The sequence below is a fragment of the Homo sapiens genome, chromosome 15, assembly GCF_000001405.40.
Source record: "Homo sapiens chromosome 15, GRCh38.p14 Primary Assembly".
In the NCBI taxonomy this organism is placed as follows: domain Eukaryota; kingdom Metazoa; phylum Chordata; class Mammalia; order Primates; family Hominidae; genus Homo; species Homo sapiens.
The window spans coordinates 79444285-79459457 of NC_000015.10; the positions used below are offsets into that span (position 1 = coordinate 79444285).

General features: G+C 42.3%; 1 protein-coding gene across 6 annotated transcripts in view; it reads left to right on the forward strand.

The window, feature by feature from the left end:
* Positions 1–15173, forward strand: part of MINAR1 (membrane integral NOTCH2 associated receptor 1) — a 60905-nt gene that overhangs the window by 32885 nt on the left and 12847 nt on the right. For 4 of the 6 annotated variants that reach the window (XM_017022027.2, XM_011521392.2, NM_015206.3 and 1 more), the window contains exon 2: positions 11814–14161. In XM_017022027.2, the coding sequence (XP_016877516.1) occupies positions 11864–14161 (2298 nt within the window). In that variant the 5' untranslated portion in view covers positions 11814–11863. Of the gene's footprint in view, positions 1–693; positions 813–8728; positions 11417–11813; positions 14162–15173 lie in introns of those variants that run through there. The other 2 variants (XM_011521396.3, XM_011521393.4) reach the window with 2 other exon arrangements.

Sequence of the window (15173 nt, forward strand, 5' to 3'; positions counted from 1 at the left end):
TGTTACCTATGTTAATGTTGTTCCATTATTTATTCATGTCTCTTTTCTTTTTTTCTTTATCATTCTTGCCAGAGATTTCCAATTTTGTTATTTCAAAGAAATCATTTAGGTTTCATTGATGGTAATGTTTATTTGTTTTCTACTTCACTAATTTTTCTCGTAACATTAGTTGCTTCTTCCATTTTCCTTTGTATTTACTATACTGATTTTTTTCCCACTTCTAGAGTGGGATGCTTAGCTCATTGATTTTCAACCTTTTATTCCACTATTTGTATTTATTACTATAAACTTTCCTCTAATGATAGCTTTAACTATAGTTTATAGTTTTGATATGTAGTATTTTCATTACATTTAATTATAACCATATTCTAATTTTTACTATGATTAGTTTTTTGACCTATGGCTTATTGAGACCTGTATGTTTAAATTTCCGTGTGTTCAGGTGATATCTTTGGGTATACATTTGTTAATTTTATTACCTTATTGTAAAAAAAAAAATCACTGCAGGATATAAATTCATTTTTTTAAAAATTTGTATCATAATATGTGGCCAGCATTACTTGAAAAGAATGTGTATTCTTGGGTCCAGGTTCTCTATATGTATAGATCAAGTGTGTTAATTGTGTTGTTTTAGTATTTTGATATCAAATGTATTATTTTCTTTGATCACTCAGTTTCTTGAGAAAGATATGTTAAAATCTCTATGCATTATTGTGAATTTCATATATTTCCTAGAAATTTTGTTAATTTTTGCTTCATGTATTTTTAAGGCTATATTATTGAGTGTCGATATGTTCAGGATTATTTTCCTGGTGAGTTGTTTTTATTTATCATTTTTGCAATAATTATTTGTATCCCTAATGATTTTTAACCTTAATATCTTTATTATTTATGTTAATATAATAATAATGTTATAGCTCACACTTATTAGAGTGCTTATTGTATGCAAGGGACTATTACATAAAACAAATCATATAAAGTAGATACTATTATCATCCCCATTTTGCAGATAAGGAAACTAAAGTACAGAGAGACTATAATGTGCCCCAGGGTAATAACTAATAAGTGCTCCAACTAATAACTAATAAATCACATGGCTTATAAGTAGAACAGCTTGTATTTAAATTTGGGCAATTTGGCTCCAGAGTTTAGAATCTTTAACTGTGATGCCATTTTGCCTGTAACAAACACTAACAATACTCTGATTTAGTTTTGATTGATAAATCTTATTTCATCCTTATACTTTAAATCTTTCTGTGACAGTTATTTTTTTTTTTTTTTGAGACGGAGTTTTGCTCTTGTTGCCCAGGCTGGAGTGCAGTGGCATGATCTTGGCTCACCGCAACCTCCACCTCCCAGGTTCAAGTGGTTCTCCTGCCTCAGCCTCCCAAGTAGCTGGGATTACAGGCATGTACCACCACCCCTGGCTAATTTTGTATTTTTAGTAGAGATGGGGTTTCTCCATGTTGGTCAGGCTGGTCTTGAACTACCAACCTCAGGTGATCCACCCGCCTTGGCCTCCCAAAGTGCTGGGATTACAGGCGTGAGCCACCGTGCCCAGCCTGTGATAGTATTTTTAGGTATATCTCCTGTAGGTAGTCTTTGCATTTTATTTTAATTTTTAAAAATCCGGCTTGAGAGTCATAGTCTTGTAACTGGTAAGTTTAAGCTATTTACATTTATTGTAATATGATGTATTTTGAAATATTTCTGTCATTTTATTTGTGATATTAATTAGTTATACTTTGCTTCTTTATTTCTCTTATTTTCTACCTTCTCTTAATTGACTGGGTTTTATTTGTTCCCTTGTTTTTTCTACACTGGTTTAGAAGTCCTGCATTAAGTTGTACAGATTCTTCCTGCTCTTTTAATAATTACTCATAACTTTTTTCTAATATGCATATTTGACTTAAAATTTAAATTTATTTAACATCTCTTTCCTCTTCCAGATAACATAGTAATTTAAAAGTTTTAATTCTGATCACTTCCTCTCCCATTAAATTATTCATTAACAGTTTTATAGAGTTGATACATGATTAGAATTAACTATATATTTATCACCTTATTTCCTCTGGATTCACTTTCTTTCCCTCTGAAGGAGCTTCTTTATAGTTTTTACAATAAGGAATATGAGTTATAAACTCTGAAACTATTTCTTTATCTTTACTTCTGAATAATAGTTTACATGGTAATAAAATTATCTGTATATTATTTTTTTCAGTATTTTAATGATTTTATTTCTATTTTTTAGTCTATAATTGTGTTCTTAAAAATCTGCTTTTAAGTTTATTCTATTTTAGGTAATTCAATTTTTTAGGCAAGTTTTTCTTTTCATTTCTGGTATTCTTTAGTTTCAATATGATGTGTTTAGGTATCTAAGGGTGAGTTCATTATTTATATGTCTTATTTAGTATTTATATCACTCCTTGAGTTAGAAGATTCATGCTTTCAATTCTGGAACATTCTTATATATTATCACTTTTATCATCTTTCTGCCATTCTCTTTTCTCTCTCCTAGAATTCCAAATAGATATTTGCTGAAACTTATCCTTCTATGCTCATGTCTCTTAAGCTTGATTTAATGGTTTTTGTTGTTGTCATTGTTGCTGTTTTGTTTTTTGAGACAGAGTCTCACTCTGTCACTCAGGCTAGAGTGCTGTGATGCAGTCTCAACTCACTACAACCTTTGCCTCCTGGGTCCAAAAGCTTCTCATGCCTCAGCCTCCCGAGTAGCTGGGATTACAGGTGCATGCCACCATGCCCAGCTAACTTTTTGTATTTTTAGTAGAGACAGGGTTTCACCATGTTGGCCAGGCTGGTCTTGAACTCCTGACCTCAAATGATCCACCCACCTCAGCCTCCCAAAGCTCTGGGATTACAGGTGTGAGCCACTGCCCCCGGCCAGTTTCATGTCTTTTATCTTTGTATCTCTTTGTGCTGCATTCAGCTAAATTCCCTTAGACCTATCTTCCAGTTCATAGACTTTCTCTTTATTTAGATCTAATATGCTATTTAATGCCACTGTGTTTTGTATTTTAATGATTCTTTTTCTATTAGTATACTTCTTTTCCAGATCTGTATGTACTTTTTTCATAGTGTCTTCTTTTATTTGGATTTTCTATTAATTTTATGCCTTTACTTATTTTAAGTATATTTGTATCTTCTTTAAGATTGTGGATTCATTTATTTTAGGTTCTTGAAGTTCTAATCCTGCTGGTGATTTTGTGTCTGCTGATTCTTACTCATTGAGTAGTATTTTCTCTTGTGTGTTGTAATTTTTAAAAATATAATTCAACCTTAAGGTGGATTCTTTTCTCTGTGGTGCTCCTATGCACCTTTGATTGTCTTGAGTACTTTTGCTCTTGTTTCTGCTTGCAGCCATGGACATTAGCAGCATGGAACTGATTTTTTACATTAATTTCTTAGCTCAAGAGTTCTTGCACACCGTGACAACATAAATTTGGGCCCCAAAATATTTAAGACATTGGCCTTGTTTTCCATTTCTAAGGGGTAATTTTTTACTTTATTTAACCCAGAGCCCAGGCAGAGGCTGACAAGTGTCCTTGTTTACTGTGCACCAGATTTTTTTCATCCTTTCACATAAAGCTAGAGAATAGTCCTTCAAGGGTCCCAGCTTTATGCAGACATCTGTGTTTCTACTCTCCATCTCATGGAAGGCCTATCCTAATCTACCTTAGAAGGACCATCCCCTTTACTCTTAGGGCAGCCACAGTGCCAGCTCTCCTGTCTACCTCTGTGATTTTTCAATCTCTTCTCTATTTCTGGAATCTGGGCATTTAGCTTGCTCTCGCAAGTTTAGTTATGCCCGTTAAGAAAAAAATTTGCATCTTATCCAGCATTTTGAGGTGTTCATAATCAGAGTTTTTCACATTCTCTAAGCTTACTTTCTTGCCAGATCTGGAAATTGCTTCATAATCACTTGACTTCTTAACCAAGGGCTTTGCACTAGGGTTGAGCTCTGCAGGTATACGTCTTGAGAAACAGAAGTGTAACCCCTTCCCAACTCCTTGCTGCCCTCTTTAGCAATTTTTTTGTGGAAGATGGCTATCTCTGGGAGAGAAAGTGTTCCCCCTTAAGTTTGAAATTTTATTAGAGGTGACACAAACAATGTAGAAATTCTTAATCACAAATTTTATATTCCTAAATTGATAGCTTCCTTTTATAGTTTCACCAAATCACAGTAGCAACCACCATCCTAAAACCAGAAGCAAGACAAAATTCAAAACAAGCAGGCCAACACCGACGCAGGAATTACATGAATACTGCAGATGAATTCTCTTGCAGTGTGCTTTCGTGAGCGTGAAATGAGAACATTGTGGCTGTTATATCTCTGCACTTTATTTCAGTTTTTGAAAGATCAATATATTTTGGCGTATTGGAAAGGTTTGATAAGAATACTTTATAACTGAGTTTTGCTAATCCAGTTCAAGGTATATGTCATTCATTTTGGGGCTGTTGGTAGCAGAAGGGAAGATTAGATTTCTAATGGAGTTGTTGGAAATGAAATTCAGAGAGCTTGTCTTTTGTCCAAAGATTCAAGCAGCAATACTACAAACTATATCCCTAAATCATCTCTCTCTCTTTTTGCTCTGCTTTGATTAACATTAGATGCCAAGAGTGTGAGCAGTTGAATATGCGTAAGATTGTGAAAGGGTGGGTATTCATTTTAGCTCTGTAGACTGGACAGCAACAACATTTATCATGCCCAGAATGTGGCATGAGAAATGAACAAGGTGCCACAGGGTAATGGGAAAAAAAATCAGGCATCTGGTTCTGGCCTTTCCCAAACTACAGACTATTACCTAGTGGAAATACCTATGGGTTAGGAATTAGAGGAGCCTGGAGTTCTTCCCTTCGCTGTATACGGGTAGGAGGTTTTGAAAGGGGCTAAGACAATATGGATCCCCATCAGCGTATCCTGTAGGTTGCAGTGCTCATCTTAACCTCAGGCTTGCTCTGCTCTAACACCCACTTTGTCAGTTCCCAGCTCTCATTTACTACAGAATTGAGTTCAGACTCCCAGCCCAGAGTTTAGTGTACGCCCTATCTTAGTATGTTTGTGTTGCTATAACAGAATACATGAGACTAGGTAATTTATAAGGAACAGAAATTTACTTCTCATAGCTCTGGAGGCCGGGAAGTCCAAGATCAAGGTGCCAGTTTCTGATGTATCTGGTGGGGGCATTTTTGCTGCATCTTCACATAACAAAAGGGCAAAAGGGCAAGCTAGCAGAATGCTGCACAAAGCCTCATTTTATAAGGGCATGAAACCCATTCATTAGGGAGGAGCCCTTATGGCCTAATCACAATCACCTGGGATGGTTTTTAAAACCTATTGAGACCTGGCCTCCCCTACCCTAGACCAGTTAAATCAGAATTCCTGGGAAGGGGTCTTAAAGGTCCTACTTCTTAAAACTATCACACTGGCAACACCTGAATCTTGAAGGGACACAATCAAACCATAGCACTCCCTATCTAAATTGTTTGTCCAGCTCCACCTCCTTCTCTCCATCCCTACCAGACATACAGACTCTTCTCTGCTGCCCTGTACCGTCATGCCTTCTGCCCTCTGCCTAGAGTACCTACCCTGTCCCTTTTCTCCAGACCATCAAACACTCCCCTCCTCTTTAGTCTTTGCGGCCACTGCAGATGGCACCTTCTCTGTGAAGCCAGCTTTACCTTTTCCCCATGGCTGGAATTCATCTCCCCCTTAATCGGGTTCCCAGCTCCATGTTTATGCTCCTCTGGCACTTGACAGTCAGAACTGGCATTCTTGCAGACATTTATGAAAACAGCCTAGGGGTCAGGAACCCTGGGTGTTGGGGACAGTTCTGCCACTAGCTCTACATGTGCCTTTGAAAAGTCATGTTACTCTCTGGACCCCAGTTTTCTTGACCATAAAATGAAGGGTTAGGCTGGAGTTCACTGTGGTCCCATCCAGCCCGCTCTAAAGAGTGTTTTCTTCCCTTTACCTTTCTCAGCTGTGCCTAGCCCAGTCTCATGCACCTTCTGGGTGCTCAGAAACAAGTTTTAGTGGGGGCTGGACACCTACAGAATCTTCAAGGACACATAAGGCAGACGCACAAAGTAAGAGTCACATAGTGAGGAGGGTGTGCTGTAGTTTGGATTGGCGGGCGACGAGAGCACCCCCATTAATTCTGAGTGAGCAATTTCAACCTCTGGCTTTCAGAACTTTTCATGGAATCAGTTTTCTGAACTGTCTTCCTATTAAAAAAAAAAAAAAGCTGAATAATGAACCCCACAGCCAATTTGTTATTCCCCTCTGAGGTCATGTGCAGCCTAGAGAGAGGCAGTAAATCATTAGTCTACTGAAGGTCCATGGGAGCATGTGGTTGAGGATGAAGCTTTTTATAATGAGAAACTAAAAGTCTTTAAATAAGTTGAAAATGTAAAACTTGAGAGGCCAGAATCCCGCTTTAGGCAGGCGTCTCTTGCTCTTTGTACAGAATAGAGTCATTTTTCAAAAATACTCCTTTTTTATAACCTGCAGAGGGTGCTGTGAGGCATGAAGCCACTGAGACTGCTAGAATTCCCATTGCTACAGCTGTTCCATGAGTGACAGCTGTTATTTGTTGAATGCCTGTCACATGGGAAGCTCTTTATTATTAAGTGCTTTACATATGCTTGTTAATTAAACCCATTGTTACAGATGAAAAAACTGAGGCAGGGTGTGGGAGCTGTAAGTAACCTATCCAACGTCACATAGTGGGCAGGACTGGAGTCTGAGCCCAGGTCTGTGGGCCCCTGTCGCTCCTCTCTACCATTAGGCTTCAATGCCTTTCACAAACCTCATCCCTCCGACTTATTAAATGGGGCTTCTTGGTCCCAAAATCTGGAGGCCCATGGTTCAGAAATTTGGGGTGGCTTTTAAAACTCCTAAAGACCTGGACCCCTCCTAGGAATTCTGATTTAACTGGTCTAGGGTAGGGGAGGCCAGGTCTCAATGTTTTAAAACCATCCCAGGTGAATCTTACCTGGTTGAAAACTCCTGCGTGATAAGCGCTTTAGCCAAGGCACAGGCGGAGGGCTGTTGAGCACCACGGAGGGAACAGAGGAGACTCTGGGACCTGGCGAGGGACTGGGGCAGAAGGGCTGTTCCAGGAGCCGGCGTGGGTGAGCAGGACTGCGGGAGGATGTGGGCAGCCGAGGCAGCAGGCCTCCAAGCAGACGGGTCTGCGGGAGACACAGGGGAGGGGAGGCCTGGGCTACGGTGTTGGCTTGGGCAGTCAGTTGGGCCCGATGGGGGCCTGATGTGCTGCAGGCAATCCCCAGTCTGGCCTCATGATTTTCGGATCTCTGCTGCTCACCGGCTCCTCCTCCTGCCAGCTTCCCTGCCGCGCTGGGCATGGCTGTTCCTCAGCAAGGAGCTCTGAAGCCAGGTGGGATGGAAGTCCTGTGATTGGCCTCTCAGAGTCTTTGCGGAGCTTTTCCACATGGGGGTGGGGGTGACAGGGTGCTGCAGTGGCTGTGTTTGCAGGTCTTGTTGGCAGGCAATGTGCGGCATCATGGGGTCAGCTTCCCAAACGCCAGAGAGGGGTGGATTTGTTGGCTGCTTAGCCCCCAAAATATGCATGGAGATGTGCTGGGATGTTAAGAAAGTTTAAACCCTGAGGACAGAGCTAAGAGACACTTAGGAGAGAACAGAGCTAAGAGACACCTAGGAGAGAAAGAGTGTGGAGATTGTGAGTGAGCCTGTGTATGTGGTGTATACGTGTTTGTGAATGTGTGTGTGTGCAGAGGTGTGAATGTGTTTGTGGATGTGTGGGAGCTTGAGTACTTGTGTGAATTGTGTGTACACATGGGTGTGTGGAAGTGCGACAGCGTATGTGTGTGCAGCTGTGTATGAGTGTAGGTCTGTGTGAGTGTGTGTAGGTGAATGTGTGTGTGCTTGAGAGTGTGTATGAATGTGTTGTGTGTATGTGCATGAGCGTGAGTCTGTGTGTTTAGGTCTGTGTGAGTGTGAAGCTGGGAAGCTGTGCAAGTGTCTGGATGTGTGTGTCTGGATGAGTGTGACTGAAGCTGTGTGAGTGTGTCTGGGTATATGTATGTCCCTGAGTCTGCATGACTGAAGCTGTGCAAGTGTGAAGCTGTATGAGTGTGTGGGTGAGTCTGTGTGAGTGTGTGTGGGTGTGAGTCTGGGTGTGAAGCTGTGTGTGGATTTGAGTCTGAGTGTGAAGCTATATGAATGTATGGGTATGACTGGGTGAGTGTGTGGGTGTGTGTGGGTGAGTCTGTGTGTGTGAGTGTATGGGTGAGTCTGTGTAGGTGTGAGTCTGGGTTAGTCTGGGTGTCTGGATGAGTCTGTGTGTGTGTGGGTGTGTGTCTGGGTGAGTGTGGGTGTGGGTATGAGTCTGGGTGTGTGTGTGTGGGTGTCTGGATGAGTGTGTGGGTGTGGGTGAGTCTGTGTGGGTGTGTGGGGGGGGTGTGTGGGTGAGTGAAGCTGTGTGCGTGTCTGTGTCTAGGTGAGTCTAAGTGTGAAGCTCTGTGGGTGTGAAGCTGTCAGTGTGTCTGCATGTGAGTGTATGGGTGAGTCTGTGTGAGTGTGAAGCTGTGTGAGTGTGTGTAGGTGTGTCTGGGTGAATCTGAGTGAAGCTATGTGAATGTGTCTGCGTGTGAGTGTATGGGTGAGTCTGTGTGAATGTGAAGCTGCCCTGGGACATATGTGCATGCACATATGTCCCAGGGCAGTTTGCTCAGCCCCCAGAGATTCCAGGCGGCTATTTCTGCCTTGCTCTGACCAGATCCGGCTTCAGACTGTGATGCATTATGCTCTGAGTGGAGTTTCTCTAGCCTCCTTTTCCTCATTTCTCTTGAATAGCTGGGGAATGTCCGTGCCCCCCTCTCTGAGCTGTTGCTTAAAATCATGTAAGGCCTCAGCACATAGTAGGTGGTCAGTCCACAGTGGCTCTTCCACCCCTCATTCACTTCTGTCAGTAGGCGGTGGATGCTTGTCCTCCTGGCATGCGATTGAGCCTAGTGCCCCTTCAACAGCGTCAGAAGACCTGGGTTGGAGTCCACTTGGGCCCCTAACCCCATACAGGACCCCCAGCAACTCATGTCACCTCTCTGGATTATATAGTTACTTCCTCTCTGAGTTCCTCAGTTTCCTTATCTGTAACATGGGGGTACTCTTCCTGCCCTACACAGTTGTTTGTGTGGTCAAATAAGGTAGACTGCTGAGGGCTTCATGCTGGAGGCTGGATCCTGTTCCACTGCTACAGAGCCCGGAAACAGATTTTTCAATCCATCTCTGCTCTTGCTCTTCTTCCTCTCTGGTTCTCGTTGGTGCATTGTAGGAAATCTGGGTGCAGTTTCTCTATGATAACTGATCATTACATGCACCTGTGCTGCACGTGTGTCCATGCACCTGTTTCTATCCACAGACCTCCTACTTTCAGTTTTGATAAAACATAACTCAGGCTTACCATATTTGTTTGTACTTCTTTTATTCACTTCAGGAGACACTGGGCCTTGGTTTTCCAAATAGGGTTTTTGACCTGGGATTTCCTTTGCCATGCAAAGTAGGATAGAAAGTTGAGAAATCTTCCCAGAGAAGCAAAGTGTTGGGTTTTCCTGGGAGGTGCATGGTAGGACACACATGGGATTAGCTTGGAAGTCCTGAAAGGGCTTTGTCTCACCCAAACGATAAAATATATGCATGAGTTGTAGTTGCTGTTCCCAAAATTACATTCACTGGTCCTGTGCTCTGATATCTACACCCATTCATTTACTTGAGACCCCTTGTGACAGGCTGTCCCCACCTTTAACAAGCCAGAACATTTGGACACAGAATGCTTCCATCAGACGGATTGGAAGGCTGGGGCGGGGTGGGAAGAAATGGGTTTCCTGGTGACTTGTTCTGGGCAGGAACAGAACCTCTCAAGGGTTTGTTTCCTTTTCCTTGCAAGAAAATGCAAACCACTGGTCTCTGCATATCCCTCCAGACATTCATGGGAGAAACCAGGCTAATGTTTATAGAAGCCTATTGGGAGTGGCTGCCTTCAGGATGGAGAGAAAGCTCATTACCTCGAGCTGCTAAAATTTAATCCAAAGAAAATATACTATTCCCTTAGAAAATGGGTTGGGTACATGTGAACTGTGTTAACTTTAAAATCAACAAATCAGTTATCAAAATACTAATTTTCTAAGCAGTATGCGACCAGGGAAATGAACACATTGTGTAATTTGATGTGTGTCTGTAAGTCTTAGAACCCGCATCTATGTTTATCAACAAAGGGCTTCACCTTCTCTAATGAAGTTTTGTTAAATGTTTGGTTTGGTATTTTTAATTTTACCATCCAAGATCTGTTAATGTAGTGTTTTTGTTCAATTTCAAGGTAAAGTTTATTATTGTTTGGTGCTTACAAAATAACAAATGCTCATTGTAAGAATTTTAGAAAAGATGGGAAATAAAAAAAAACCTATAAAAATAACAGTGGTTGAACAGAAAAGGGCATGAGGAAACTTTCTGGGGCAATGGGAACATTCTAGTTCTTTATAGGGTCTTCGGTTTCTACACAGGCATACATAATTGTTGAAACATCAGCCAGTGCACCCTTAAGATTTGTGAACTTCATTGTACGTACATTTTACATTAAAATCTGTGAACAGTTTTTGAATTGGGTTAATGATATGTATGATGAAGTATTTGGAAGAAGTGTACAGATGTCTGCAATTTACTCTGAAGTGAATCAAAAAAATAAGAAAGCTTGATGATGAATATATGGATAGATATGTAATAAAGCAAATAAAGTAAAATATTAATGGAGAATCCAGATCTTGGGTATATTAGTGTTCATTATAAAATTCTTTCAACTTTGCTGTATATTTGAAAACTTACATAATAAAGTATTAGGGAAGAGAGATTACTAATTCAGAAAAAAATCCATATTTACAATCCGAACTTACCACTATTAGCATCTTAGTGCACATTATTTTCTTTCATTTTTGTTTTCAAGAATGCATAATTTTATACCATTATGATCTTATACAGATTTATTTTCATATTTTTTTCACTCAATATTATATCATAGTTTTGTTATGAAAAGTCTTCATTATGTAATTTCTAAATTGAGGTATTATTTATGTACAGTAAAACTTACACTTTCTAGTTTAGAGTCCTGTGAGTTTTGACAAATGCCTACAGTCATGTAACCACCACCACAACCAGGATGTAGAACAATGATATCATTTAGGAAAACTTCTCTGTGCCCCTTTGAGGTCAACCCTCCTCCTCACATCCAGGTCTTGGCAACCACTGATCTGTCTTCCAGAATGTCATTAAGATGGAATCATGCAGTGGAGGATGTACCTTCTGACTCTGGCTTCTTCCACCCACACACGATACATTCGAGATTCATCCACGTCCTTGCATGTACTAGTGGTTTGTTCTTTTTTGCTGATGCGTAGTAGTCCATTGTAAGAATGTACATTAATGTAGTTTCAATGTTTGTAAAAATTCATGTTATATCATAACATGTTTATGTATTCTCCTATTTGGATATTTAAGATGTTTTGCTTTTTCATTATTACAAGTGCCATCATAGTGAACACCTTTAAGCATAATTGTTATCAATCATTAAGGTAGATTCCCAGGAAGGGAATTACTAAATCGAATGTTATGAATATTTTTACTGTCCTTATTACATTTTTAATCATTAAAATGTTTTTCTCTGTATTTCTTTATATGGTTTATAAGGAGCTTGACTTCAAACTCCACTGGTGTTTATAATCCTCTTTTCCTCCTCTCTTTCTCAATATTGCCACCACAGAACTGACCTGAAGTTTCAGTGTAGTCAGAGAGCTCTTCAAGTAATAAATCATGGAGACCAGTCAGGAAACTTCCCTCTTCTTGGTGAAGATCTTGGAGGAACTGGACAGCAAGCAAAATACCGTTTCTTATCAGGACCTGTGCAAATCTCTCTGTGCCCGGTTCGACCTGTCGCAGCTTGCCAAACTGAGAAGTGTGCTCTTCTACACAGCTTGTCTCGATCCCAATTTTCCAGCCACGCTATTCAAAGACAAGATGAAATGCACTGTGAATAACCAGCAATCAAAGAAAATCATGGTGGCAGCAGATATTGTGACGATATTCAACCTGATCCAAATGAATGGCGGGGCTGCCAAGGAGAAGCTGCCCACGGGCCGCCAGAAGGTACGCAAGAAGGAGGCATCCTTTGAATCATGTAGGTCGGACACAGAGATCTGCAATGCAGCTGAGTGTGAGCCCCTGAACTGTGAGCTGAGTGAGAGGTCTTTCAGCCGGGGCTACCCCATCAGGCAGTCGTCCAAGTGCCGGAAGATGGACTGCAAGGACTGCCCACAGTTTGTCCCTGCCTCTGAGCCTAACTTCCTGTTGGGAGTTAGCAAAGAGGTGAAAAACCGCGCCGCTTCCCTGGACAGGTTGCAGGCCCTGGCTCCGTACTCTGTGACCAGCCCTCAGCCCTGTGAGATGCAGAGGACCTACTTCCCCATGAACATCGAAAACGAGTCCATTTCAGACCAGGACTCCCTGCCCATCAATCAGAGCATCAAGGAGACCTTCATTTCCAATGAGGAGCCATTTGTGGTCCAGTCCTGTGTCCAGAAAAGGAATATCTTCAAAGAGGATTTTCACAATTTGATGGCAGTGTCCCCCAGTTTGGTTGGCCCCATCAGCAAAGCAGAGAATGAGCACAGGGAACCCCAGAGTCGAAAGGAACCCCACAAGCCACCCTTCTTCAACCACAGCTTTGAAATGCCCTATAACAGCCAGTACCTGAATCCAGTGTATTCCCCGGTTCCTGACAAAAGGCGAGCAAAGCACGAAAGCTTAGATGACCTTCAAGCCTCTACATATTTTGGGCCCACTCCCGTGATGGGAACCCAAGAAGCCAGGCGCTGTCTAGGGAAGCCCAACAAGCAGACTCCCTGGCCAGCCAAAAGCTGGAGCCTAAACACAGAGGAAGTTCCTGACTTTGAACGGTCCTTTTTCAATAGAAATCCCTCCGAGGAGAAGCTACACTATCCAAATGCCAGTAGCCAGACCCCCAATTTCCCAGCCCCAGAAAGGCGCCCAACTTACCTTGTGCCAAAGGATCAACAGCCAATTCTCCCCATTGCTTATGCGGCAAAACAAAATGGGCTCAAATCTAAAGAGATCTCATCCCCTGTTGACCTGGAGAAGCATGAACCAGTCAAAAAGTTTAAAGACAAGAGCATTAACTGCACCAGTGGGCAGCTCAGCTCAGACACCAGTAGCGTGGGCACCCAGACTGAGCACGTGCTGGAGCCCAAGAAATGCAGAGACCTGTGCACCTCTGGTCAGGGCAAGTACAGTGACAGGCACACCATGAAGCACTCAGACGATGACTCAGAAATTGTCAGCGACGACATCAGTGACATTTTCCGATTTCTTGATGACATGAGCATCAGTGGCTCCACGGGAGTGATACAGTCGTCCTGCTACAACAGCACAGGATCCTTGTCTCAGCTCCATAAGTCAGACTGCGACAGTTCCCCTGAGCACAACTTAACCAAAATTGCCAATGGGGTCCCCAACAGCAAGGGAGACAAGGGCAACCGGCCTGAAAACACCCACCACTCGGAAGAAGAGCTGAAGACCAGTGTGTGCAAACTGGTGCTCAGGATTGGCGAAATTGAACGGAAGCTGGAATCCCTGTCGGGTGTCCGTGATGAAATCTCCCAGGTCTTGGGCAAACTAAATAAATTGGACCAGAAAATGCAACAGCCTGAGAAGGTGAGTGTGCAGATAGATCTGAACTCCTTGACAAGCGAGGGTCCGTCTGATGACAGTGCCTCTCCCCGGATGTTCCACGCACACAGTGGCTCCCACGGACCCAAACTAGAGAACAACCCTGACTGGTGCTGCTCTGATGCTAGCGGGAGCAACAGTGAAAGCCTGCGGGTCAAGGCCTTAAAAAAAAGCCTCTTCACCAGGCCATCCTCTAGGTCCCTAACAGAGGAGAACAGTGCCACAGAGTCCAAAATTGCCAGCATCTCCAACTCGCCCAGAGACTGGCGCACCATCACTTATACCAACCGTGTGGGCCTCAATGAGGAGGAGATAAAAGACACAGGCCCAGGAGATAATAAAGACTGGCATCGGAAATCTAAAGAGGTAATTTAAATTTAAGTTCACATAATCGGGCACCAGCTTCATCATAGCCCTGGTGTATTTCAAAGCCTTGAACATGGCGTTAAACAGGCAAGAGGCCTGGCCTCTGTGTGCCAGTCATCCTTCCAGGTTTGGCAGGGTTTTCACATTGGAATAGAGAGGACAACATAGGCAGGTCGTGTGTTCCACCAGGTTGTCCATCAGCTAGGAGGAGCACATGCTGCGATATTGCTGACAGCAGAACGTAGGGTTGGGATTCATTAGACAGGTGGTGTGAGAACAGATTTTCATAGAATGGGGAACGTATCAGAGCAGGCAAGCATCACCAAGGATATCTTCCTGTCCTTTCTGAAATAGGATGCAGGCCAGGTACACGAGGGAAAATACTGAAAAGGTGCTGGCTGATACATCTTTTTCATGGACTTCATTGTATGTGTGATGTTCCTTTTTAAGTATGAGGTTTTTTTCATTATAAAATAAATTGATGATTAGGAAGTAAAGAAGATAAATAGGATCATGAGGTCAGGAGTTTGAGACCAGCCTGGCCAATATGTTGAAACCCCATCTCTACTAAAAATGTAAAAAAAATTAGCCAGGTGTGGTAACACAAGCCTGTAGTCCCAGCTACTTGGGAGGCTGAGGCAGGAGAATTGCTTGAACCCAGGAGGCAGAGGTTGCAGTGAGCTGAGATCATGCACTGCACTCCAGCCTGGGTAACAGAGCAAGACTGTCTCAAGAAAAAAAAAGATAAGAAAGTCATTCATAGTTCCACCACACAAAGACGGCAACTCTTAATCTGGTGTCTTTCCTTTCCTTTTTAGTTTTTTTCTCTACACTGTTGTTCGTTGGAGGCTCTTTCACGTAAGCTCTGTGCTTTTGCATGTTTATAGCAGACTTCACTTCCTCAGTCCTAGAATCATTGTGCACACATACACTTGAATCCTTTCTTTCTCTCACCCCCTGCAGTAAGGGTGGTTTGTTTCTATGGGACCTGTGGCCCATCCTGTTCATTCTA